At 53.0% G+C, this 26,287-nt stretch overlaps 1 protein-coding gene and 1 long non-coding RNA gene across 30 annotated transcripts in view, besides 2 other annotated features; one reads left to right on the top strand and one right to left on the bottom strand.

Annotated features, from left to right (window-relative positions):
- The window catches only part of MYT1L (myelin transcription factor 1 like), a 542,163-nt gene that overhangs the window by 493,523 nt on the left and 22,353 nt on the right, over positions 1 to 26,287 (top strand). Inside the window, exon 23 of one of the 29 annotated variants that reach the window (XM_017003608.2) lies at positions 2,558 to 9,075. The exons of the other annotated variants lie outside the window; for them this stretch is intronic. Within the exon in view, the coding sequence (XP_016859097.1) occupies positions 2,558 to 3,011 (454 nt within the window). The 3' untranslated portion in view covers positions 3,012 to 9,075. Of the gene's footprint in view, positions 1 to 2,557; positions 9,076 to 26,287 lie in introns of those variants that run through there. 29 annotated transcript variants of the gene reach the window in all.
- On the bottom strand, positions 3,608 to 14,208 carry LOC124905967 (uncharacterized). Its single transcript, XR_007086192.1, has 4 exons — positions 14,124 to 14,208; positions 12,783 to 13,458; positions 8,641 to 8,828; positions 3,608 to 3,942 (listed from the first exon to the last, which is right to left on the bottom strand). It is a non-coding gene; the product is annotated as an uncharacterized LOC124905967 (long non-coding RNA).
- Positions 11,103 to 11,660: an enhancer, noted in NCBI's record as "H3K4me1 hESC enhancer chr2:1829865-1830422 (GRCh37/hg19 assembly coordinates)". NCBI's record gives its function as "activates a minimal SCP1, AML or CMV promoter by ChIP-STARR-seq in primed H9 embryonic stem cells {active_cell/tissue: H9 hESC(primed)}" and the evidence as "EXISTENCE:reporter gene assay evidence [ECO:0000049][PMID:30033119]".
- Positions 20,507 to 21,419: an enhancer, noted in NCBI's record as "H3K4me1 hESC enhancer chr2:1820106-1821018 (GRCh37/hg19 assembly coordinates)". NCBI's record gives its function as "activates a minimal SCP1, AML or CMV promoter by ChIP-STARR-seq in naive and primed H9 embryonic stem cells {active_cell/tissue: H9 hESC(naive and primed)}" and the evidence as "EXISTENCE:reporter gene assay evidence [ECO:0000049][PMID:30033119]".

The following is a 26,287-nucleotide window of genomic DNA, read 5'->3' as shown; positions in this document are numbered from 1 at the left end:
AGGGGCCTCAGCTGCTCACCAGGATCACCCAGGGCCCAGCAGACAGGGCGTTCCTTGTTAGGTGCACAGAAGCCCAGGGTGTCACAGAGCCGCCTCACCCTCCCCATTGAGCCTGTTCCTGCACGTGCCACCTGGTGTCCTGTCCAGGTTTGATTGTTACAAAGAACTCCGCGTGAACGTCCTTGTGCACACAACTCCATGTCCTTGTGCAAGCAGATCTTCAGGCTCTATTCCTGGAAACAAGAATGCTAGCTTTAAAATTTTGACAGATCATGCCAAAATGCCCTCCAAAAAAGTGTCTACTTTCCCAAACCTTTCACCATTAATAAAATGTTTAAAAATTTTGTAAAAACCCTGCCCATTTGACCTATGAGTAAGGGTTTGTATGTTTCGCTAACCTGACACAAACGAAAACAATTTCGTCCTCTCACGTGAGCATTTCTGCACTCCAGGGACGGCACTGGTTCAGAGCTGCCTCTGCGGAGCCTGGTGCTTTAGCTTTCCTCCTGCTGAGAGTTTGCCCCTTTGATTTAAGCAGCAAATACCAGGTGCCAGATGAATGCTGTTCCCTCCCACTCCCCAGCCTCTGGTTGCATTGTATGTTAGGGTCAGAGGACAGCCCTCCACCAAGATCTCTGTCCTGCCCCTTTTTCCATGGGGGAGGGCTTAGAGCTTAGGAGCCACTGAGGTGGGAAGCAGGACCCCGCCCCATGACGCCCCTTCCCAAATGCCAGGCACAAATTTCTGCTGCTAGACCCTCACCCACACACCTCTGTCTACTCTCTTGCCAGCCTCACCTCAATTTCCACCCTTCCCTGTTTCTTTTCTCCAAAAGGGAGCCTCTTCCCCAGGGTCCCTGGCACAGAGTGGAGAGTATATTGAAATGCATGCTCTGGCCTTGACAAGCTGATGGAAACTTGGGGGCACAGGCTGATGGAATATTGGGGTGCAGGCTGATGGGATCTTGGGGTGCAGGCTGATGGAATCTTGGGGTACAGGCTGATGGAATTTTGGGATGCAGGCTGATGGAATTTTGGGATGCAGGCTGATGGGATCTTGGGGTGCAGGCTGATGGAATCTTGGGGTACAGGCTGATGAAATATTGGGGCCAGGCTGATGGAATTTTGTGATGCAAGCTGATGGGATCTTGGGGTACAGGCTGATGGAATATTGGGGGCGGGCTGATAGAATTTTGGGGCACAGGCTGATGGAATATTGGAGCGCAGGCTGATGGAATATTGGGTGCAGGCTGATGGAATTTTGGGGTGCAGGCTGGTCGAATTTGGGGGCACAGGCTGATGGAATGTTGGAGTGCAGGCTGATGGAATCTTGGGGGCAGGTTGATGGAATCTTGGGGTTCAGGCTGATGGACTCTTGGCAGATTGATGGAATCTTGGGGTGCACATTGATGGAATCTTGGAGTGCACGTTGATGGAATCTTGGGGGGGCAGGCTGATGGAGTATTGGGGGCAGGCTGATGGAATCTTGGGGTACAGGCTGATGAATATTGGGGTGCAAGAATACTGGGTGCAGGCTGTTGGAATCTTGGGCCACAGGCCACGTCAGTGAGTAAAATCACAGCTTACAGGCCCATGTTACTCGGAGAATTTGCAATGCTAGAAGCTCCCTTCTCTGGAAAGCTGTATGCCTCTCACTTCCCTCCCACCTGGTTGCCACCCACCCTTGCCCCAGGGCTCAGCAGCCTCCTCTTTCAGGATCCCAGGTCCCTGGAGGGCCCACAGAAGTCCAGGCATGATGGAAATGACTCCAGCTGCCTGTGCTCCACCTAGCCTGCAGGGCCACAGCTTGATGGGAAAGGCCCCAGGCTCCAGCCCCGGGTATCAGTATTCACGTGTATGCAGAGATTGAAATGTCAGCATGCCAGGGGCGGCTCCTGCTGGAGCCCTGCCATGGGCTGGCTGAGCTACACGGAAATGTTGATATTCCTCCGTTTTACTAAAAGGCACCATCAGAACTCTCTGAACTGCTGGCTTCGGCGACCTCCAAGGAGGAAAGGGGACCTCCCTGTGTGTCACAGGGCTCTGGGCGTGTTTGCCCGGTGACCAGCAGCCCTGTTTGTGCAGCAAAGGAAAACCCGGAGTAGTGGCATAAGGGGAAAGGGGCAGTCCAGGCCTGAGCACACCGGACCTGGGTTCTGTTCTGTTCTGTTTGTTTTTGTAGTTGTGGTAAAATATTAACATATGGCATGGAATTTACCATCTCACCCATCTTCAGGTGTATGGTTCAGTAGTGTTAGGTATACAGATGGTCCTCAACTTACAATTTTTCGATCTTACAGTGGTGCAAGAGCAATACACACTTGGTAGAAATGGTGCTTTGAGTATCCATGCAACCATTCTTTTTCACTTTCATAGAGTATTCAATAAATTACATGAGATATTCAACACTTTTGTGTAACTAGGCCTTGTGTAAGTTGACTCTGCCCAGCTGTAGGCTGATGTAAGTGTTCTGAGTGCATTGAAGGTGGGCTAGGCTAAGCTATGATATTGAGTCAGTACAAGTATTAAATGAATTTTTGACTTAAAATATTTTCAAGATATGGTATTTTCAACTTAAGATGGCTTTATGGGGATGCTGACCCCATGGTATGTGGAGGAGTACCTGTATCCATCCCCATGGTATGTGGAGGAGCACCTGTATCCATCCCCGTGGTATATGGAGGAGCACCTGTATCCATCCCCGTGGTATGTGGAGGAGCACCTGTATCCATCCCCGTGGTATGTGGAGGAGTACCTGTATCCATCCCCGTGGTATGTGGAGGAGTACCTGTATCCATCCCCGTGTTATGTGGAGGAGTACCTGTATCCATCCCCGTGGTATGTGGAGAAGTACCTGTATCCATCCCCATGGTATGTGGAGGAGTACCTGTATCCATCTCCGTGGTATGTGGAGGAGTACCTGTATCCATCCCCGTGGTATGTGGAGGAGTACCTGTATCCATCCCCGTGGTATGTGGAGGAGTACCTGTATTCACACTGTTGTGGAACTGATCTCTCCAATTCTTCCGTCTCCATTGAAACACTGTCTCCATTCAACACTGACTCGCCCTTCCTCAGCTGCCTAGCCCCTGGCACCCACACTGTGCTTTCTGCCTCTGTGAATCTGATGCTTCTAGGGACCTCCTATAAGTAGAATCCCATGGGGTTTGCTTTTTTGTGACCGTCCTATTTCATGGAGCCCCATGTCCTCAAGGTTGTAGCACGTATCCAAGCTTCCTTCCCTTTTGAGACTGAATAATATTCCATCATGTGTTGACTATGGTTTTTCTCTGTTGAGCAAGCCTTCATCAATTTTAATAGATAGGCAGAATATTATTTTCTGAAAGTGTAATAATATGAATACCCAGCAAGAACACAGCTAAGCGCACAGAAATACACTCATTAGGAAGTCTTAGACATTTCTCTTTCCTTGGAAGCCCTGGCCTTGCCCAGACTGCCAGGACTGCCTGGTGGTTTTCCCAAACCTGGTTAGCAGGAGCCTCCCACAAAGCCCCCGCGGGCACGTCAAGATTGGAGTTTGGAGGGCCCCTGTGCATCCCACCCACTGCGCAAACAAAGCAGCGGTTAGAAGCAGCAGCAAGAACAGATTGAAATAGAAGTTGCCTGTTTTATTTCTCTTTTACCCCAAACTGTGACAATCTAGCCAGATGATGAAGAACTGCTTTCAAGCAGGTGCCAAAATAGAAACAGTAGAGGAAGCAGGAACCAATGCCCATGGTTTGGGGCCCTGCTCACATGCCCAGCCCACTCCCGGCCCCGGGTCTCAGACCTGACAGGAGCCCCTGGCCATCCACCCCATTTGCTGTGAAATCGTTTCCACTTCACTTCATGGGGAGTCCTGGCGCAGCCGCTGCTCTTTCTGCGTTGAGGGTTAGGCAGGAGGGCTCCTTTCCCCGATCCTGCTCCCTGAGCTGAGTCGTGTCTGAAAAAAGCAGAACTGATGTAAGAGAAATAGAAAACATTTTATCTTTAGGGTTGGCAAGGTCTTTCTAGAAAAGCAGTGTCTAAGATGAAAAGTCAAGGCCCCATCCCGGCTCCTGGGCACACACATACGTGGTGCCATGACCTTTGGGGAAGATGCCATGTTGTGATTGTAAAAGCAGCTATCATGAGACCCTCAGGTCAGGTGTAAAGGCCAATCCCTCCCAGAAAGGAGGGGGAGAACTGGAGGCACATGGAGAAGCCCAGGACGGAGGAGTCAGGGAGAATTCTACAACGACAGAAGTCAGGTAGAAAATGTTGATTGTATACATGAGGAAGCAGCAGAGCGGACAGCTCAGGACAGGAAGGTGTCCTCAGTCCCGGTGAACACAGACTGAGGACAGTACCAGGCCATGACCAGGGACCATGAGGCCCATGCAGACCCCCAGCAAGCGTTCTGGACAGGTGCTAAGGCCAAGCCACATAGCAGACGCAGCAGAGCCTAGGGTGGTGATGGTGAGTAAGACCTAACACTCACTCCCCGAGCCCAGAACCTCACAGTGAGGGAACAGACTCACATAAGAGCCTCGGATGCGGGCACTGGGGCAAGGCCAACCACGGGACAGATGCAATGCCACTGGCACACACTGTGGGGGACACTGGCTTTACACTCAGAGAAATCTGAGGAGGCTTCCTAGGAACTTGAGACCCTTGGGGTCTGTGCCCGAGGAGAGCTCAACCTGCAGCTCACCCTCCCCCTAAGCCGCCGACAGACGTGTCATTCATTCATCTCATTCGGCCGACACAGACAGACATGCCTCCACCAGCACCGATGATCTCCGTCCAGGTCTGGTTTACAAAGTTGAGTACCGTGGCCTGCTCTTTAGAGGAGAGAAGAGACCATCTTTTAGAGAATGCTGTGGACTGGGGTGAAGGAGATTACAGATGCTGCAACATGGTGCCAGGCCAGCGATCAGCAACACAGAGGAGAAATGTCTAGTCCAGATGGGGTGAACAGGCCAGGGCCCTTCAGGAGCCAAGACAGGAGCTGAATTTTGAAAAAAGGCACAGCTCACCACAGGGAGGAAGGTTACATTGAGGGCTTTAAGTGACTCTTGGAGTCCGGGCTTTGAATGCACCACCTTGGTGGCCGCGGAGGAGAGCTGGAATGGACGGGCAGGCAGACACGTTGAGCCGTTCCTGCAGACCTAAGCGAGGCATGATGAGGGCTAGACCTCCAACATGAAAGGAAGGACAGATTAGAGGACTGTTTAGGAAACAGAATGAGCAGGGCCTTGTGGGTGAATCCCGGCAGGAGAGGTGGCCCCAGCCCCAGCAGCTGCACGGGTGGCAATGCTGGCAGTTGGGAACACAAGGAAAGAATGAAGCCTTGAACGCCATGGGTATCTTAGTCTGCTCAGCCGTCACAACAGAATACCCTAGGCCAGGTGGCTTGAGCAACTGACCTCTATCCCCTGTCCCTGGGCTGGAAGTCTGAGATCAGGTTCCAGCTGATCTGGTTTCTGGGGAGGCCTCTCTTCCTGGTTGGCAGACAGGGGCCTTCTCACTGTGTCCTCACAAGGCAGGGAGAGAGCAGGCTCGCTGGCATCTCCTCTCATAAGGACTCTGATCCCATCAGATCAGGACCCCACCCTTACAAGCCCATTTACATGAATTATTCCCTTAGAGGCCCCAGCTCCAAACACACCCAGGGGTTAGGGCTTCAACACAGGAACCTCGAGGGACACAAATACTCACACCATAAAAGTGGGGAAAGATGGTTATTTCATTTTAAATACGTGAACTTGAGATTCTGTGGGACTTTGAAGGGGGAATATCCACCAAGCAGCTGGTAACGGGCCTCGGGAAGTGTCTGAGGAGAGCCGCGTAGGAATCGGAAATCAGCAGCACTCAGGTCACACTTGACCCTGCAGGTTCACCCCGGGACTCAGGGGTCCAGGGGGAAGAGCATCAGCAAAGACACCCCTGGGAGACACACACGTTTTGTGACAGGTGGAGGCGGAGAGGCCGTGATGAAGACAGAGTTGCATGGTGGCATTAGGGGAGCCAGGCGCCATGATGTGCAGAAGCTTCCAGAGAAAAGAACACACACAATACTGGGAAAGTGGCGAGAGGCCGGTGTGGCGGAGAGTTCAAAACGATGCTGGGCTCATTTGGGGCATTGGCCGTGGGAATACAACTGAGGCACTTTGTGGAGAGTTTAGGGAAAAGATCAGGCACCAAAACCAGACTGAGATAGGACGAGAGTCAGATGGAAAGTTCAGGGGGTTGTAGAGGACATGACTAATGGTTCTAGAAATGCAGACCAGACGAGAGGGGAGGAACGACGTTGGCAGTAGCTGGAAAGGCGCAGAAGTGGGCAGGACCTCACAGGCAGAGAGAAATGTGGGTCTGGAATTTATCTGAAGAGGAGAAACCAGGAGGAAGAAATGGTTTAAAGATACAGAAGGCAGCAGGAGTACCAGGTGGAGACAGATCTTGGTGGAGGTCAGGAAGCCACAGACAAGCTGGACAAATGTGGCTGTAACTGCACTGGGGAGCTGGGGGTCCTCAGAGCAGAGCTCCATCTGGGGGGAGCCAGGGGTCCTCGGAGCAGAGCTCCATCTGCTCCATCTGGACAAGGACTTCATGGGAGTCATTCACACACGCGTCGGGCACCCGAGTGGGGTTGCAGGGTGTGGTGGTGTCTGGGACACCTTCAGGAGAGGGGATTCCAAGGGAATCACGGCCATGCCAAGGACACACAGGGAATTGGAGACCACGTGTTGGCCACTGGAGGGAAGGGCACACTTTTGTCCCCAACACTCAGCTGTCAGGATGTGGGGAAGACAGCAGCGTGGGAGCCTTACTCCAGCCCCATTGACATGCAGGTGCATGCGGGAGGTGCAGAGGGAGCAGCTCCAGGCCACCAGCCACCAAGGGGCTGTGGAATTTGGAGGATCCTGTGAGGGAGGCCGCAGCCAGCCAGCAGGCGAGGACAGAGCGAGAAGGCACACTCCACAGTTCCCCTAGGCCCAGGGAAGAGGCTCCTGAGGGAAGGACTCCTGCCACCCTCCACAGTTCCCCAGGCCTGGCCTTCCTCCTGTCTCTGGGAGCATCTCCTCCTAGCCATCCCAAGCTGCCTCATCCCCATGGTGTTTCACACCTGTGAGCCCTTTGGGGTGCCAAGAGCACCCTTTCCCACATCTCCCTGTGAGCCCTTCCAGGTGCCGAGAATACCCTTTCCCCCATCTCCCTGTGAGCCCTTCCGGGTGCCGAGAACACCCTTTCCTCCATCTCCCTGTGAGCCCTTCGGGGTGCCGAGAACACCCTTTCCTCCATCTCCCCATCTGCCATGTGATGCCTCCTTATCTTCCAGACAATGTCAGTGGAGGCTGTTCAGGACTTATTATGGGCCAGACAGAGCTCTAAGCACCTCCGCATACCAACCTTCTTAATCCTCACAGCAGCCTGAAGAAATGGGCTCTGTAATTATCCCTGTTTTAAAGATCAGGACATTGAGGCAAAGAGAAGAGAACTTCCTGCCTGGGGTCCTGTGAGTGACGGAGCCAGGGCTCAGGTCCAGGCTGCCTGACCCCCCGTGAGTGACTCCTTTCCACTATCTCATCTCTCCCTGACTCCGATCCCTGTGATGATCTTGGTGAAACTGCCCCAGCCTCCTCTCTGCAGACACTGTCCCTTCTCTTTCTACCCGATACTAAGTAGCTGCTACATCTGTCATGCTCCATTGCAATGTCTGTGCGTGGGGACCTTTGTTCCTTCCTGCACATCTGGGGCACCTCGCTCGGCGCTGCACACACAGCTCCTAAGAAAAGTTTTCCTGCACCATTGACTCAATACATTTTATAAGAGGAGATTTAAGTCTGTGTTGAAACAGGAAGCAGCCATGTGTTCGCTGGGTGCAGATGTGAGGAACCTAGGGCCTGCCAGGAGACAGGTGCAATTCACAGGTGTATGGGAGGGTCAATTCACAGGTGTATGGGAAGGTCAATTCACAGGTGTATGGGAAGGTCAATTCACAGGTGTATGGGAGGGTCAATTCACAGGTGTATGGGAAGGTCAATTCACAGGTGTATGGGAGGGTCAATTCACAGGTGTATGGGAGGGTCAATTCACAGGTGTATGGGAGGGTCAGTTCACAGGTGTATGGGAGGGTCAGTTCACAGGTGTATGGGAGGGTCAGTTCACAGGTGCATGGGAGGGTCAATTCACAGGTGCATGGGAGGGTCAGTTCACAGGTGCATGGGAGGGTCAGTTCACAGGTGTATGGGAGGGTCAGTTCACAGGTGTATGGGAGGGTCAGTTCACAGGTGTATGGGAGGGTCAGTTCACAGGTGTATGGGAGGGTCAGTTCACAGGTGTATGGGAGGGTCAGTTCACAGGTGTATGGGAGGGTCAGTTCACAGGTGTATGGGAGGGTCAGTTCACAGGTGTATGGGAGGGTCAGTTCACAGGTGTATGGGAGGGTCAGTTCACAGGTGTATGGGAGGGTCAGTTCACAGGTGTATGGGAGGGTCAGTTCACAGGTGTATGGGAAGGTTGGAAGGTGAGAGATTCTAGTCCAGCAAAAGAAGTCAGGAGGTAAAGTTGGGGGAGAAGGAACCAGGGAGTGCTCTGCCCAGTCCTCAGCACCCCCAGAGGTGAGAGGCCCAACGCCATCTTCATGGGAGATCCTCACCAAGCGCTGGGCAGCCAGTAGATGCAGGGAGGATGGGGCAGAAGAGGGAGGGAAGTGGAGGTTCCTCTGCAGCTGTTGAGACTTCTCTCTCATGTGCAGTGCCCTGAGCATCCTTTTTTGCCACCACTTCAGTTCTCACTCCACTTCAGTGAAATTTAAGAAGAGTCTCCAAACTTAAAGTTCTAACTCTGAAAAACAAGTATTTTTAGAAGTAACTCATATCTTAAGAGTCTCGTCCACCATACATTTTTTTAAAGTCCTTCCCTAGGCCCTCTTAAAACCTTTTCTGTCTGGAACATGTGAATTGTTCTATTTATTTTTTGGTTCCTCTCTAGTCCATTATAAATGAGAACATAACCTTTTATAGAATGTTTGTCTTGCTTGATATATCTCAAGGGAATTGTTGCAAAAATAAATCACCATATTGAGTACTTACTATGTGAGCTATTTTTTAAATCAGTCATCTCATTTAATGGAAGATTAGCGAGAATAGGCTGACGGCCATGACAAACACACTTCAAACTATTTGAGCAGAGCTGAGGTCTACACACATCACAGTGCTGGACAGGCAACAGGGAGAAGGGCTCTGGCACCTTCGACACACTTTCATACGGTTGTTTTTATTCCATAACAGAGAGAGGAAGAGAACGTGGAGGATCCCAAGAGGGAGGTGTTTAGGGTCTGGATCTGGAGGAGCACACCTTACCTCTTTCTCATTCCATCTGTAAAAACCACCCCACAGTGTCACCTAACACTGGGAAGCTGGGAATTCCATAAGTAAATCCTGCCCCAAGATGTCACCTACCATTAGGGAAGCTGGGAATTCCATAAGTAAAACAGGCCCCCCAGTGTCACCTAGTACCAGGAAGCTGGGAATATGGTCTCCCATGATCCCAAACAGGACGCCTGCATGCTCTCTTGCCTCTCTGTGGTGCTGAGTAGCCATAGTTTTTACACAACACAGGTAAACATTCAACCAACGCGCCCTGAGATCTGTGTGGTCCTGTTTTAGAGATGAGGGAACTGACTCGGAGGGCAAGCCACGCTCCCGGATGCATTGCCAGTAGGGAGAGACGCTGGGGCTGCTCCAGGGCTGCTGGGTCTCATTTGTGGACACACCCGTGCGATCCAGGACAAGACTCTCAGGGCGCAGGGCGTCCACAGCAAGCATGCAGCTCATCTACTAGGATTCTGGTTTTGATCTCAGGACAGATCACTAGCTGGTGTCTGGAGGTGTGGGGGAAGTACAGTGAGGGGACCCTCCCCAGCTGTCCTCTCTAGGGGGGCGCCCTGCCTCTGGATCCCCAGGAGGGTAGTTCCTCGTCTGCCAATTGTGTGGAGGGGAGGGGTCCTCGCTCTCCCTGTCATGGACAAGGACTGGCCACCCTGTCCAGAGACCAGATATATAGACAGGGCACACTCAGGAGGTTCCAGTTGCTCTGCACTGAAGTCTCTGATGATGATTCCAAATTCCACATCATCAGGGAATAAATATTTTGTGTGTCAGCAATGCTGATCCCTGCCGTAGACAGAGCCCTGGGGCCGTGTCACCTCAGAATGTTCCTCCAGGACTCTCCTGGCGCTCCCTGGATGCTCCCCTTTTCCCAACCAGAGAGGTCCCCTCAACTCTCTGAGATCCCCTTCTAGGCAGAGGGTGGCGGGAATGAGGACCACATTGCCAGGGGCTCCTCCAGGCCCGGTGGGAGCTTTCTGTTTGACCCAGGCATGTTTCAATGGCATACCTTGTTTTATAACACAGGAAGAAAGTTCTCCTGAGCTCTGGGTCCCTCTGTGATCTGCAGGAGGTGGAAGGGAGGGTGGCCCCAGCCCAGGAGTAAATGCAGCACAAGGGAGGGAGACAGAGAGCATTTCCATCCAGGGCTGAACCCTGCCGTGCCCCAGCTCCTACGAAGCCCCATGCCCCCATTCTGGGCTGGCAGCCCCTCACTATCAGCCCTTCAGTCATCTGGCCAGGTCACCACCTCAGGGAAAAGAGAGGAAATGTTGCTGCGCTGTGTCCAGGCCGTGATCTCTAGTCCTGGAGGCCAGGCAGGTTGACCCATCCAGAGCCCTGCAGGATGGGGAGGGGTCTGGGGCACCAGCAGGGGTGGGGATTGCTAAAGTGAGATCCTCGCCAGGATGCGCCTCCTCCTGCATCTGCTCTGGAGAAAGCAGGACTCAGTCAGTGAGCCCCACCCCACCCCACCACCTGCTCTCATGAGGAACCTCACTTCTGAGAATTACATTCCCGACCCCCACCCCATGCTCCCCCTGCCCCCACGCCACTCCTGTGGAAAACTGGCCTTACTGAACCACTTTACAAGGAAGCCTTCAGGGACTTGACTTCTCTGACCTTTGGAGTCAGCTCCCTGCTCTGCCTCAGGCCCAGACACCCTCCAAGGGGAGCCCTCCGCTTTCCCCGACGCCGGCCCTGCACTGACCCGGTACCCGGTGCTGCGTCCTAAAAGCACCTCAGACCCTTTGCTTCTTTTCCTTTAATCTCCATCTTTTAGTGTTTGACGGGAAGCAATTGGGAGGGAAAGAGTCAGATTCAACATCTGTCTCGAACTGTGAATCCCAAAGGGCCCTGTGAATAGCAGCAGGGAGAGGTGACATCTGGTCAACCTCCTCTGCCTGAAACAACCCAGTGTTCTGGCCCAGCGCTGACCAGGGTGGAGCGCGACCCTGCTTTGTTTTTGCAGGAAGATTCCCTCCTGAAGCACTCCCACATTCGCCCGCCCCCCAGCCCTCCCCAGGACCTGGCAAGCATTCAGCAGATGCTGAATGAAAGCACTGAGCTTCAGCAGGGCCCTCTGCGCCAGCGCAGGAAGCCGAACTGTGTCCCATGCCCGAGCACCGTGCCGGTCTTCTAGTTTGTTCTCCAAAGTGGCACAAACAAAGCAGCTTAAACCCAGGCCCTGTCATTAGCTCAGTTTTCCCATGGTGGAAGCCCAGGCTGGCCTAAGGGGGTCCTCTGCAGGTGGCGTCCCCCCTGGAGCTCACAGTCCAACTCACAGCTCATGCGGGTTCCTGGCAGAACTCAGCTCCTGAGCTTGCAGCTGTCAGGCCCGACTGTCCTGCTGGACGTTGGGCAGAGTCGTCCTCCGCGGATGAGGCCCCCAGGTCCTGGCCACACAGCCGGTGGCCTCACTGCTTGGCAGCTGGGCTGGGGTCTCATAGGATGTCACCCCATCATGGGGGCAATGACTATACTGTGTTCACAGGACCATCCACACTCAAGGACAGAGGCCCACGCACGGCAGGTGCACACGGGGAGACTTTGGGGCCACCTTAGCATTCTGCCCACTGGAAGGGGACTATCCAGCCACTGCGCTAGGATCTTCAGAGAAATAAAAATTTCAAGACAGTCTCTGTCCCAAGAAACTTAGCCTGTTATAATTTTATAGGGAAAACCAATATACAAACAAAAAATTAACAGTACAAACAAATAGGATCATTCTTATATCCAATAAAGAGATGGGGAACCTGATCTTTTAAAAGCGGGTTCCCATATGTGAATTAATCTCAATTAAACAAACAAAAAACTTTGACGTTCTCATAATTAGTGTGAAGCTAAGACTGTAATTCCAATCTTTTGATTTCTCCAAATAATTTCTAATAAACATAATATTACTTGATTCTTAAGGGAAGAGTAAGTAGGTTTTCAGGAGTATGCCAACTTTTTAATGGAATTATGTTATAACATGTAAATTCTACCAATGTATCTGTTTTCTGTAACTGAACTAATTTCTGTCTCCTCCTCTACTGTATGGTGAGAGCTTGCTCGCCATAACTAGGTCGCTGTGGTGCCTCCCCCCCATCTTCATCCCAGGTGCACCTTTGGGGCAGGTGGCAGCTCCTGGGGGGCCCCTTTCCCTGCCAAAGCACCAGCCTCATGGGCAGCTCCTCCACCTTCCCGGCTCCCAGCCCTGAGGCCTCTCTGTGTCTGTCGCCATCAGGAAGGCAGGGGAGTGGCGTGTCTGAGGTCTCTTTCCCCAGCTCCATGTTGCTCTCAGGGGAAAGGGAGAAAGTCTGGCTCTCAGGCCACTCTCTGAGGACCCACAGGCATCCAAACCCCTTACTCCTCTCCCTCCTGTCCTCTCCCTTCTCTGTCTCCTCCCTGGAGATTCCTCCACCGCTACCTGATGGGGATGCATCCTTCCAAATCTATGGCTGCTGCCAGGAGTTCCTCCTATCTCTGGGATGTGTCATCCACAAAGCGAAGCCTTTGAAACGCAAATGCCTTTTTCTCTGATTTTCGCTTCTAACAGCTGTTCCTTGAAGCACCAAATGCTAGCCAAAATGGTGGTAAAATGCATAAGAAGAACAAATTATGCATCAGCCGGGATACTGCGGAGTCCTCCCCCTCTCTCTCCTCTGGATGACTCAATATGCATCAGCCGGGATACTGCGGAGTCCTCCTCCACTCTCTCCTCTCGACAACTCGCTGCACGGATCCATCCCTGAGTGCTGGTCAGTGCTCCCCAAAGGAGCCGCAGAGGGCGGCGTCCCGGCGCCACCCTCGCATGGCCTGGCCGGGGTGTCACAGGCTGGCCCCTGAGTTCTCACAGGGCCCAGGGCACAAACTTCAGGACGAGAGCAGCTCAAATGCAGAGGCCCATGCCCCTCTCCTCCCTGTGCTCAGCCTTCTCTGGGATCCGAGCTCTCCGTCCAGGCTGGCGCTGACGTCAGACATGTTCTGGCCTCTATCCTGCCAGCCTTCTCAGCACTCTGGGTTGGAGGGAACATTCCAGGAAGGCAGTATTTCCCAGAGGACAGAGCACCGCCCTGCTCTGCTGGGCACAAAATTACCTAACCCTAGAGAGACGTGGAGAAAATACCAAACTGAATCTACATTACAGATTGTTGGAAGAATTGGTTGGGGTCATGTATCTAAAATGCTTAATGCAGGCTCCTAAGCATAGGAATATGTTTAGTAAGTCTAGTCTGCTTTATTAGCTATTATTTAAATTTGTTCCATAGCAAGAATCACTCTCTGTTTAGAATCCAAACTAAAAACGTTCCCCAACCCCCATGGAGAGGGCTTGGCACGTTCCCTAAAAAGTCACTGAGCATCCCACATCACCTCTGCCCGGCGGCCCCGCTGGGGGGGGAGGCGCGGCCTCATCCCATGGGTCGTGCCAGGGACGGCGAGGCCCAGGCCAACACTGTGCCACGTAATGGTCACTGGACACCTGAGACTACTCAGCTCTTGAAGTTTGGCTCCTGTGACAGAGAACTTTTAAAAATTGTTAGATTTCAGTAAATATAAATGTAAATTTGACCACACGGGACGAGGGCCGCCACCACTGGCAGTGCAGGGCTGAACACGCCTCCAGCCACGGATCTTCCTACAGGGACCCAGCCTCATCGCTGCTCGTGCCAGGAGCCTGACCCACCTGCAGGGCTGAACATGCGGCCAGCCACGGGTCTTCCTACAGGCACTCAGCCTCATCGCTGCTCCTCCCAGGAGCACGACCCACCTGCAGGGCTGAACATGCAGCCAGCTGAGGGTCTTCCTGCAGGCACCCAGCCTCGTCACTGCTTCTCCCAGGAGCCTGACCCAAGCCCCGCCTGCAGCCTTCGCTTCCGTCCTGGGGGAGCTGCTCAGAGGCTGCCCTCCAGCGTCAACCACACCCACTCCAGCCCACTGCCTGCTCCCTCCTCCAGGACCCCGGAGCCGAAGCCCTGAGCCAGATAGGGTGGACCTGAGTGCCCCAAGTGGAGAGAAGGCTACAACTACAGCTGCCACAGCTATATCTATGACAATGAAGGTTGCAGCCACAACCACAGCAACAACAGCCTCACAGCCACAGCTCTGACAACAGCAGCAACAGCCCTCACTACCACAACCACCACGACTATAACAGCCAGCACCACCAGCTGGGTGCCCCTGCTGGGTCTGCCTGGGGAGGCCAAGCTGCCACAGGGCTGTGCAGCAGGACAGGTGTCTCCTCATTGAGGATCTTTTCCTCCCACGTGTCGATGCCATTTGAGGAGCTTAGGGCAAAAGCTCACATTTGCAGAAGAGTTATGGTTCACATGTTAAAAAGAAAACGAGGTGCAATAAGGTCCCTTTCACAGGTGTAGGGGCCAGGCCATCAACATATCCCTTCAGGAGACACAGCCAAGCCACAGCAGTGATAACGTTAACAACCGAGGCTCCTGAGAGGCAAGCAAAAGGAGAAACAAAACTAAACATTTCCCTTCTGCTAGGATTACACTCAGTCCTCAGCAGCAAGCAGCTGCTCCTGAGAAAGAGAAACCCTCCAGGAGAGGAGGGTTTCACTGTGGACACAGCAGCCCTGGTGAGGCAGTGGCTCCTTCACAGGAGAGGAGGGTTTCACCGTGGACACAGCAGCAGCCATGAGGCGGTGGCTTCTGACTGCCAGGGACCCAGATATCCGGGTCCTGCACCTCAGCCCCTGACACTCGGAGACCACCTCAGGGTGAGTTTGCTACCACAACAGCCATCCTGTCCCTGGAGGAAGGAAGGGGACCCTCTCGAAGGACACAGGCTGTAGGCCACACTTCTGCCTCCACCCTCAGATCCATGTGGTCCCAGGGCCAGCCCTCGCCATCCTGTGGCAGCCAAGTGCCTGCTGAGCACGCAGGAGCATCCCTGGGGAAGAGGGGCTGACAGTGGACACACCCTGCGCTCTCCAGGAAACAGACCCAACCCACACAAAGATGGCAGACACCTTGCAGAAAGGTGCACGTGTGTTCCTCAATACTGGGTTTATTAGGCATCTCTATTGGGAATCCTAGCCAAGCTCTGCAGACTGAAATCACATATATCTCCACTAAATCTTAAAACACTACTAAAATGACCCACTCTCCTCTTATAAACCCACAAATATAATGCAACTAAATAACTAAATAAGGAAGGGAAGTGCAGACCATCCCATCCACAAAGCACTGGGAGCCGCCCAGCCCAAGCACACATGGCTCAGGCCTCAGCTCCCTGCAGAGGAGCTGTTGGGGAGGGAGAGGATGGGGGTGGAGAGAAAGAGTGAAGAAAGAACCCAGAAAAAGAGGAGTGAAGAGCATGCAGAACCTCCATAGAAAAGAGGCTGGGACCTAGAGTGGGGATTCAGAGTTGGTCGGAAAACAGAGGAGTAGTTGAATTGTCTAAGAGGGGTTCGACTCCCGGATGCCCTGCCACAGGCCTCCTTCTCCCCGGCAGAAGGATAAGCTAGAACAGAAGCTCTGGAGCTAGTGCTAGGAAGAGCTGGAAACAGGATGAGCCGTTGTACTGAAGATGGGAACGTCAAGTGAGATGGACAGGCCCCAAGGCCTTGGTCCCGTGTGGCTCCGGGAATCCAGCGGCTCCTCCTGCTCCTCTGCCTTCTCCACTCCCCGCCACTCCAGACAGAGCAGGGGCCTCTTCTCTAGAACCAACAGATTCAAGATAAAGGGCCTCCAGGCACCAATGTCTGGGATGTATGCGTGAACAGCCAAGGACTCCGGCCACTGAAGGCAAGCAGTAAACAACATGGCAGAAACCAAGCAAACAAACCAGCCTTACCAGGGGGCAAAAGAAGCTCAGAGGAAGCAGAAACATTTCTGGAAAGAGGAGCAATCTTTTTAAAAACCTATAATTTGTCATCAGACAGAAAAGAACAGAAAGAACATTAAAATATATTGTATTCATAACCCAAGAAACATTCAGAGAACACGAATATCTATTTTAAAAAATAAATAAAAAGTTTACTTTGAAAGTTAAAATGTAAAATTGAGGTAATGTCCCATAAATTATAAAGAGATGAGAAAAGAAGATAAAAGATTTTGTTAAAAAAAAATAAAGAATTCAGGAGAGTTAGTAATCAACTAATAGGAGTTTCTGAAGAAGTAGCGAGAGTAGAGCAAATGGAAGAAAGAAAATTCCCAAAGAAAGAAAACAAGGAAAATCCCCATGGCAGAGATCTTGAGTTTTCAGATATAAAGGCCTCGTTGAGTAGCCACGCAATCATGAAATGGTTCTATGTCGTCCGGGGCTCTACCTGAGAAGCAGGACCAGTAGGATTTATATATGGACGGGTTCATCACAAGGAACTGGCTGACACCATCTGGGACCGGCTCCACAAGTCCAAAATCTGTAGGGCAGACAGGCAGCCTAGAAACTCTTGTTCAGGAGAAGTTCCATTCCACAGGGAGAATTTCTTCTTCCTCGGGGAAACCTTAGTTATATTCTTAAGGTCTTTTGACTGCTTGAGTCCGGCCCACTGAGAGTATTGAGAATAATCTCCTTACTTAAAGTCAGCTAGGCCAAGTGTGGTGGCTCACACCTGTAATCCCAGTATTTAGGGAGGAGGACGCAGGAGGATCACTTGAGCCCAAGAGTTTAAGACCAACCTGGGCAACATGGCAAGACATCATCTCTACAAAAAATTTAAAAATTAACCAGGCATGGTGGTACATGGCTGTGGTCATAGCTATTTGGGAGGCTGAGGAGTGAGAATTGCTTGAGCCCAAGAGTTGGAGGCTGCAGTGAGTATGATCATGCCACTGAACTCCAGCCTAGGTAACAACAGCAAAACCCTGTCTCAACAACAACAACAACAACAACAAAAAGCCAACTGATGGTAGATGTTAGTCACTCTACAAAATACCTTCGCAGCAACACTTAGATAAGTATTTGATTAAACAACTGGATGCTGTGTCCTCTCCATGTTGACATATAAAACTGTCATAGCCAACCACACAGAGGTTCATCATCATGAAATTTTGAGAACCTGGAGTGGGGATACAGAGAAAGAGAGGGACAAACAGAGACAAAGTGAGAGACAAAAGAAAAGGAAGCTAAGAGATGTACTCAACAGCAATGCTGGAAACAAGAATCAAATAGAACAATGCCTTCAAAACTCTTAGGAAAATGATTGCACACTCAGTATTCTATACTCAACCAAACTATCAATTTGGAATGCAAAAGCAGCAAGCCCCATCCAATGGGTGACCAAGCCCCAGCCCTTCTTACTCCTCTTGAGTGGGTGCTCTCTTCTGAACCCATTGCTGCCTCAGGCTGTACTCCCTCATTCCTCCCCCAGGCCCCTCTGCCAGCTTCCTCGCTGGCCCCCCCCCACTGCCCTCTGCCCTCTGCAAGCATCCTCCAGGCTGCTGCCAGTGAGCTCTCTACCAAGCAAACTCTACTGTGTGGTTGCCAGGATTACATGCTTCCAATCCTTTGTCATTGCCTAGAAGCTAAATCCATTCTCCTCTGTAAGGCACTTGAGATCTTCCCTAATAAGCTCTTACCCATCCCTCCAGCTCCCTGCCTCTCTGCCCCTTGGTTGCACCCAGACCTAAATTCAAAGCTGAAGACATGCTGCTCAGGCTTCTTTGGCCCTTCCACTGCTCCTTGTCCTCTTCAAACAAATGTCTGTCTTTAAATACCCATGCGGACTCCACCTCCCTCTGTAATGCTGCAGAGCATCACATCATCGGACCATGTGCATCCCTGTAGGGCATGTGTATTCACAGGGGCCTCTGCCCGAACTGCACTGGCAGGGCCCGAGTGTAGCATCTGTCACTCACGGGTGCATGGAGAGAGGCTGCAGGAGGAGGAGTGGAGGGTGAGGCTGGTGCTGGATGGCCTGGGTATAAACTCAGCCCTGCCTTTTCTGACTGTATGGTCTGGGGCAAGTTAGCTGTTCTGCGTCTCGATTCTCTCCTCTGTAAAATGGGATGGTCATAGATTGTTTGAGCAGTGGGCCAAGTCTGAAGAGCATGCCAGCATGTGATAAGTAAAGCATTTACAGCAGCTCACCACTGCTGTTAGCATTGTCATGACCCTCCTGTTAGGACTGTGCTTGAGGACAGGAGGTAAGTGTTGCTGATGAGTGAATAGAGATAGGACGTTTGATGACCTATGGAAGTGGCTCTTCAAAACGTCTCTTCTCAGGCCTTCTTCTCCTAACAGTGTTTTGATTGTCACTGCCGAATAGCAGTGGCTCCAGAATCCATCCCTTGGGCAGGAGGCAGGTGGACTCCCTGGGCTGCAGGAATGAGCTGTGTGGGTAGCTGCCATCCCTCAGGCTTTGAGAGGGACCTTTGTTTCCTGAGGCAGGTGGACATGCACCCCAGTGGGAGGGACCTGGTCTGGGAGCTGGGAGCTGGGGGCCATCTGGGTGGTCACACGGCCACCCACAGCTGCACTTTCTGCACCACCTGCCTGTGTGGCTGTGGCCGAGGCGTCCACCTGCCACAGAGGTCACTGTTCTAGAAACGCTTCCCTCTCTCCATGGTTTGAGAGCACCCTGTTTGGCACAGAATATTTTTAGGGGAAAAACCTCCAAATTCTGGATCTTGGCTTGAGAAGGGACCACGATGCCATTGCTTCCCACTGAGATGGAAGCAGATCTGATACACAGTCAGAGGCAGAAATGTCACGTGGCTCCAAGAACACCCTCCTGCCCTTCCTCACATATGCTGGGGCCAGAGTCCGGGAAGCGAACCACAGGAGAGCTGCTCTCGTGGCGACCGGGGCAAATGCAGGACAGGCTGTGGCTGCTGCACCAAATCCCTGTTTGCTTATTGAGGAGATGCTCCGTCATCATGAGTCAATCAGTGACAAGAATAGGATTAAAATACACAGTAACAGTGTACACCTGGAGTGTATTGTGTCTCATATAAATTACATATTATATAGTTAGAGTATTAAAATAGTAGCAGTGGAATAGGGAATAGTAAAATAAATAAAATGTTATTAGAGTGAAACTCACTGTGAAGGAAACTGTTTGCCCCTGGCTGTGTGGAGCTGATGTTCAGAGGATACTGAATCGCAGACAGCACCTGGCTGGGCTCTTCCCACCCGCAGCTCTTTGTCGTGAGTTCTCATCCTAGCACCTTCCAGCTGCAACAAAGCTTCTACACACACTCCCACCTCCTCTCAAATTACTTATTTTTCTTCCCAATCTGTGTGTCTTGTTAACCATATCCCCCTTCGAAAGTTTCACTTATTTAGTTATTTCCAACTGTAATGTTCTCCAGGAAAAGGCCCTTCTAGCTGATGTCCTGATAAAAAATGTCAGGGCCTCCCGGAGCTCGGTTTGAAGCCCTTCTAAAGCTTTCGCTGGAACCTTCATCTGGAATCCCTGGTGCTGACGCCTGGTGCCAGACGTCTGGGGCCTGGGGCAAGCGGGTGGAGCAGCCGCCTAACTACTTGCTGCCCGGAACCTCCCCGCACTGAAACTTGGTGACTTCCAAACCTACACTCAGCAGCACTTGACTTTAATTGGAGAAGCGTTTCTGTAACAGGCCGCTGGGTCTCAGGTTCAGAACTAACGTGTGAGTAAAATAGTAAGCACCCTCTTTATAATTTACACCCGGGACCAGCCGTGGGCTGACCTCCTTGGCTGAGCCAGGTGTGTGGACTTTCCCGAGAGCCCGGGACCAGCACCGCCCCCAGGCCACCGCTAGATGGCACTGTCACCGCACCAGGGCCGCCACCACCCCCCAGGGCCGCGCTGGGCCTGCTCCCAGGGTTCTCTTCCAAATTGGACCTGAGCTGGCAGTGCAGTCACCGGATTGGAATTGGCAGCACCGACACAGCCGCGTTTGGACAGAATGCATCATTCTTCAGGCCCGTCTTTGTTTCCTAATTTAGTTTCCCAAACTCTTGCTGAAGGCTCCTGCTCCTTAAATAACACCATTATTTGTCATTCCCAGCAGGCAGTTTTATTAACTGAGAGTGAAGAGAAGCAGCGTGAGACTGTGGGCAAAGCCGGTGCTGAACCGCAGTGTGGGTCCAGGAATGTGGACTCTGCAGTTTCCGGCCGTGTGGCGCCCCTATCCCCCCACCCATGGGGGACTTGCCTCCCTGCACCGGTGGCCTCTGCTTCCTGGAGCCGTCGGTCCTCTGGGTGGTTCTCTCCCATGCACTTAATTAACCGCACATAACTTAGTTCTGTTCCTTTATTTTCAAGGTAGGAGAAGCCAGGATGGGGAGATCCCTAATAGATATGACTAAATACACTTAATAAGGAACTTTGTAATCAAGTCATGAGAAAATGGGCCTTTTTGACATAAGAGTGGACAAGTACCCCAGTGCCCACCTCCCAGCAGGAGCCACCTTCTGACCACACTGCATGATTTCAGGAGCTGAGGCACCCATGGGGAGCTGAGGACAAGGTGGCCGTGTGCAGCCCCTCTGGAGCACGGCGTCTGCAGGGACCCCTGGGTGCTGCCGACAACAGGGGTCCACCCTGGGACGGAACCAACTGGCAGGACCCCGGGGTCCTCTCGTCTACCTCTCACCCTACAATGCAGGCCCCAGGCCCCCAGCCGGGCAGTGAGGCCCTGTGCATACACTGGGGCATAGGAACGGGACAGGGCCACCCCCTGGGGGGCCACAGCTGTCACTGTGCGCTCACTCAGTGGCCTTGAAAGAAGCGCCTGAAGCGAGAGAACATGGGTGACGGGGTTTCCCTGAAGTCAAGTCAAAGCAGCCAACGTGCACCATGTCCATCCTCATTTTATGCGCCTTCGTCTTGGCGTAGCCTCAGCAGCTGCTTTTGGCTGTGGCTTTTAAGCTGTGAAAGTATTTGCTGGGAATGTCCTTGGCTCCTCACGCAGCACCTCCTCCCCGTTAGGCTGGTTTCTCTGCTGGATCTAAAACAGGAGGGAGGAAGCATCGTGAGTGGCGTGGGGGGGCTTGAGCGGCTCCTCCCTCTCTCCTCTGGGGGTGCCCACCGGGGCCCAAAGCTTCTGGGAACCCGGCGGAGAGCTCTGCTCCTGAGCCAGGAATTGCCAGGCACCACACAACTGCTATCCGCGGGGCCTGTCCGGTTTCCCCAAGTGCTTCTGCTTCATTCGCTAATCCATACAGCGTAGCTCAGAATGATCGCTTGCCTTGGGTCCCCAAACACTACCTGAGCTGGAAAGTGCTTGTGTGATGTGTTAGTAATGGATAATACAAAATTTTTAACATGGGACTTTAAGCCATCAAAATTTCTGTTTTATTTCTTAACAACAACAACAAAAAGGCTGAATGTGGTGGTTCATACCTGTAATCCTAGCACTTTGGGAGGCTGAGGCAGGAGGGTCGCTTGAGATCAGGAGTTCGAGACCAGCCTGGGCAACATGGTGAGACCTAGTTTCTATTAAAATATTTTTAAAAGAAAAAAAAGAGATAACTGTGCCATGGGGCGTTCCATTGGTGATGAAGCGTGCTGATGCACAGGGAGCCACGGAGTTTCTCGGGGCGGTGCCGTGTGCCTCTCACCTGGATGCCTGGAGCCACTCCCCAGTCTAAGGGTTTGAATGCAGGAAAAGCCATCTATGGCTAAGAAGAGACAAAAAATAATTCTAAACTAGAAAAGATAAACTACAGGACAAAGGAGAGATGGGCCAGGCAGCCCTGGGACACTGGCCTGACCGACTGTCTGGTGCGGAGAGGCCGGGAGTTCTGGGGGCAGGGCATGGGGAAGGGGTGGCTGTTAGGATTCCATGGAGGTGTACCCAGGGGGGTGCTCCCCCACACTCTTCCCTCCTCAGAATCAGAGTGGGAAAGCAGCTCGGCCTCTCGGCCCCTCTTGCTTCCTGACAACTGAGAGGCAGGACACTGTCCTTCCTATTTTATTCACGCAACAGACATCCCTCTAGGGCCCGTGGTTTCCCAGGCAGGAACCGTGATTCTGAGTGGAGAGGGTGGAAAGGACACGGGGATGACCCTGCTGGGGTAGAGCTGACAGCATCATGAGGCAAGAGCCACTGAAGAAGCAAATGCACCCCCTCATGACGAGTGGGAGCAGGGAGGGACCCCAGCGACAGAGAGGATGGGGAAGGGGCCTGTTGATGCTGCTCAGCGAAGGTGGCAGAGACATCCGCACCAACACAGCCAGGCTCTGGGAGCTGCGTCACCAAGCCCAGCCGCAGAGGGGCCTCACCTCGGGCTCTCAACCATGTGCCCCAGAGAGCCAGGCCTGTGGCGGCCGGAGCTCACTGAGCTGATTCCACAGGACGGAACCTCACCTGTTCTCCCAGGCCTGGCTATCCTGACATCTGCCTTTCATGGTTCTGGTTTAATATCCTTTCTCTATATTCAACCTTCAAAATATCCCTATGAGGTGGGAAATTTTGTTTGCTTTTAAATTCCCATTTTACAAATGAAACACCCGAGCTTAGAAAGGTCACTAGAATAAGTCAGCAGCAGAAGCAGGACTTAGCAGAGAAAGTCTGACTTCCAAGCCTGTACTTCACTTCTCCCTGGAGCTCCTAGGTTGTAGGTAACAAGAATCCCCAAGAAGCAAGCCTGGAGCAGAGCCAGGGAAACGAGGTTCCACTCTCCACCCCACCACTAAGGAGCTGTTCGTTCATGGGTGAATGCTCTCCGCCAGGCCTGCACCTACCATTCTGCAAGCATTTAGTGCACTGTGGGAAAAAGAAAGTGAGACCTGCCCTAAAGAACTTAACTGAGCAGATCTTTAAAAATTCTGCGGCAAGACCCATAAAAGAGAAAGAGGCTGGGGAGCTCCGCACCCCCAGTGAGGTGGAGGCTGGGGGCAGTTTCTGCAAAAGCCGAATCCTAAAGGAAAAATCACTGACATGATGTCAGTCTGTTTCCATTTTCTATGCTGTGCATTTTTACTAAACATGTCCCATCTGCAAAGGCTCCTGGACACCGGGATACACATAGCAATGTGGTGGGCATTCCGAGGAACCACCCTCAGACCAGCAGAAGAGGAAAAGATAACCAAGGATGGGAACCGCCCATGTCCACGTCCCGGGAGGCTGCGCTCCAGGGCGCAGGGGATTCGAGGAAGGCAGCGCTGTGGTGGGCCAGAGCCTGGGCCTGGAGGGCCTCCTGGTGCAGGCCGGGCCCTGCTTTGTGGACAAAACAGTAAAGAGTTGGGAGGTCAGTTGGATGGGGACAGGGCGGGACAGCAAACTCAAGTGGGAGTGCCAGGGGCGTTCACCTAGCGGCAGAGAAGATCGCTGGCCTGGGGAATTCGTGAGTGGACAGCGGGAGGCAGCACGTGTGAGAAGAGCCCGTCGCAAAGGCCATCTAGGACAGCGGCCCCCAACCTTTTGGCACAAGGGACCGGTTTCATGGAAGCTAATTTTTCTTTCTTTTTTTTTTTTTTTTGGGGACGGAGTCTCGCTCTGTCGCCCAGGCTGGAGTGCAGTGGCGCGATCTCGGCTCACTGCAAGCTCCGCCTCCCGGGTTCGCGCCATTCTCCTGCCTCAGCCTCCCGAGTAGCTGGGACTACAGGCGCCCGCTACCACGCCCGGCTAATTTTTTGTATTTCTAGTACAGACGGGGTTTCACCGTGTTAGCCAGGATGGTCTCGATCTCCTGACCGCGTGATCCGCCCGCCTCGGCCTCCCAAAGTGCTGGGATTACAGGCGTGAGCCACCGCGCCCGGCCGGAAGCTAATTTTTCTACAGAAAAGGGGTGGGATGGTTTCTGGATGAAACCGTTCCACCTGGGATCACCAGGATTAACTTCTAAGGAGCCCGCAGCCCGGACCCCCTCGCAGGCGCAGTTCTCAGTAGCGTTTGCGCTCCTGGGAGAATCGAATCCCGCCGCTGACGTGTCGGGAGGCGGAGCTCAGGTGAGAATGCTCGCCCGCCCACTGCCCACCTCCACCTGTACGGCCCGGTTCCTCACAGGCCACGGCCGGGAGTTTGGGGACCCCTGCTCTAGGAAATATTCCAGCATCGGCAGCTGCTCTCAGAGAAGCTGCTGGAAGCTCTCCTGGGGGAGTGGGGGCAATCACAGCTGTGCCCCTGGGGCCATTTCTCAGCTGTGGGATGGAACGGATGGGACCCAGGCTGAGGCCCAGGGGCCTCGCTGAGGGAGAAAGAAGCACAGACCTGGACTGAAGTGATGAAGAGAAGGGAGGGGGTTCAGGCGCAAACAGCAGAGGCTGCTCGCTGGGAGGACGGCAAGGAGGAGGAGGCGTGCCTTTGTGGCCCTCCCTCTCTCCCCCCCACCTGCAGCTCCTGGCCCCTCAATGCCATTCGCAAACACAGGGAAAGTCGAAAGGGCTGCGGAGGTTCAGACGGCGGAAGGCCAGAGAGGTTCAGCGGGGGAAAGATGGGAGCTGCTCCCTGCATTTGTGAGGATCATACTGAGCCGGGCTGGGCCACACGCACCGTGGACCGACCAGGCGTCACCCTTGTCCTACAGTCACAGTCTTAGGACCTCTGCAGGAGGCCCTCACCCCAGCCCTCCTCTCATCTTAACCCAGGGCGGCAGCTGCATTCAAGAGTCTTTTTTTTTTTTTTTTTTTTTGAGACGGAGTCCTGCTCTGTCACCCAGGCTGGAGTGCAGCAGTGCGATCTCGGCTCACTGCAACCTCTGCCTCCCGGGTTCAAGAGATTCTCCTGCCTCAGCCTCCCAAGTAGCTGGGATTATAGGCACCTGCCACCACGCCCAGCTAATTTTTGTATTTTTAGTAGAGACAGGGTTTCACCATGTTGGCCAGGCTGGTCTGGAACTCCTGACCTCATGATCTGTCCGCCTCGGCCTCACAAAGTGCTAGGATTACAGGCATGAACCACCGCGCCCGGCTAAGAGTCTTCTCTTAACTTGGAAGTCCTGCAAAATCCTGCCGCAGGCCTCTTTGAGGGCTCAGTCTGCACCTTCCAGAGCCTGGGTGCACTCACACTCACCCTGGGCCTCCACTCACTGAGCCATCACAAAGTGCATTCAGACATTTTATGCTTTCAGAAGTCGTCACTGGGCACCTATTCCATCTCCAGCACTCTCCCATCATGGGGATACAGAGCAGTGAACAAAAAAGTGCATTTTAATCCTTGCCCTCAAGAATACACATTCTTTTCATTAAACTTCACAAACACAGTCAATTCAATATTTTATTCTCATTTCATAAGTGAGCAAACAGGACTGCCTAAGTCTTTCCTAGCCAGTTCCACGTCTTATGTGCGTTAGAGCATCAGGGGGTGCGGTGTGAGGTCCAGTGGGCCTCCTGGTCTCACAAAGGACTTGCCAGATGTAGTCACCTGACTGCAGAGTCTACCTGGATGCGGGGGCCAAAGCGCAGACACACCTGCAGGAAGATGTGTGTGACAGCCACAGTGTGTCCAGTGGCAGGAAGGGGAAAAGTGGCGTTAACATCCAAGCATCCTATTTTAGGAGAGCCTTAACAGATCTTTTGAGAACTTCTTATTTTACAAATGAAAATATCCAGCTCGCCTTCAGAAGCAGATTTACGGATAAGCTAGGGAAGCAGAAGTGTCAGCCCCCACCCCAGCCGGATTTGCAGGGCGTCCTGCTGGGATCTGATGGGGAGGCAGGAGAAGACCCAGGAGGGTGCCCCGGAGTGGGGACGACTGCCAGGTTGTTGCCCAGGCCCCATCAGGGAGGACTGAAGAGGAGCCTGTTCCCTCCGGAACGCGAGGGGTTCGTTCACGCCCCACACTAAAGACAGCTTGAGTAGCACAGGGATTTCCGGTGTAAACAGCAGCAGGCAGGGTGAGAGGATCCATCAGAAGCAGCAGTGCCAATGTCTAGTAACAAATAAATGAACAAAAAAACAGCAAAGGGAACCACGAGCCAGGACCCCCTCAGGGACTGTCCGGATTCCTGGGGATGCAGTCAGGGCAAGCAGGAGAAGCCAGGGCGCCCACCGTGCCCACCCTGTCAGGCCACCCAGTTCCCAGAGGCCTCTCTGCTCCTGGG

This window comes from Homo sapiens, chromosome 2 (genome assembly GCF_000001405.40).
Source record: "Homo sapiens chromosome 2, GRCh38.p14 Primary Assembly".
NCBI classification, from domain to species: Eukaryota; Metazoa; Chordata; class Mammalia; order Primates; family Hominidae; genus Homo; species Homo sapiens.
This window is presented reverse-complemented; position numbering and strand designations above follow the sequence as displayed.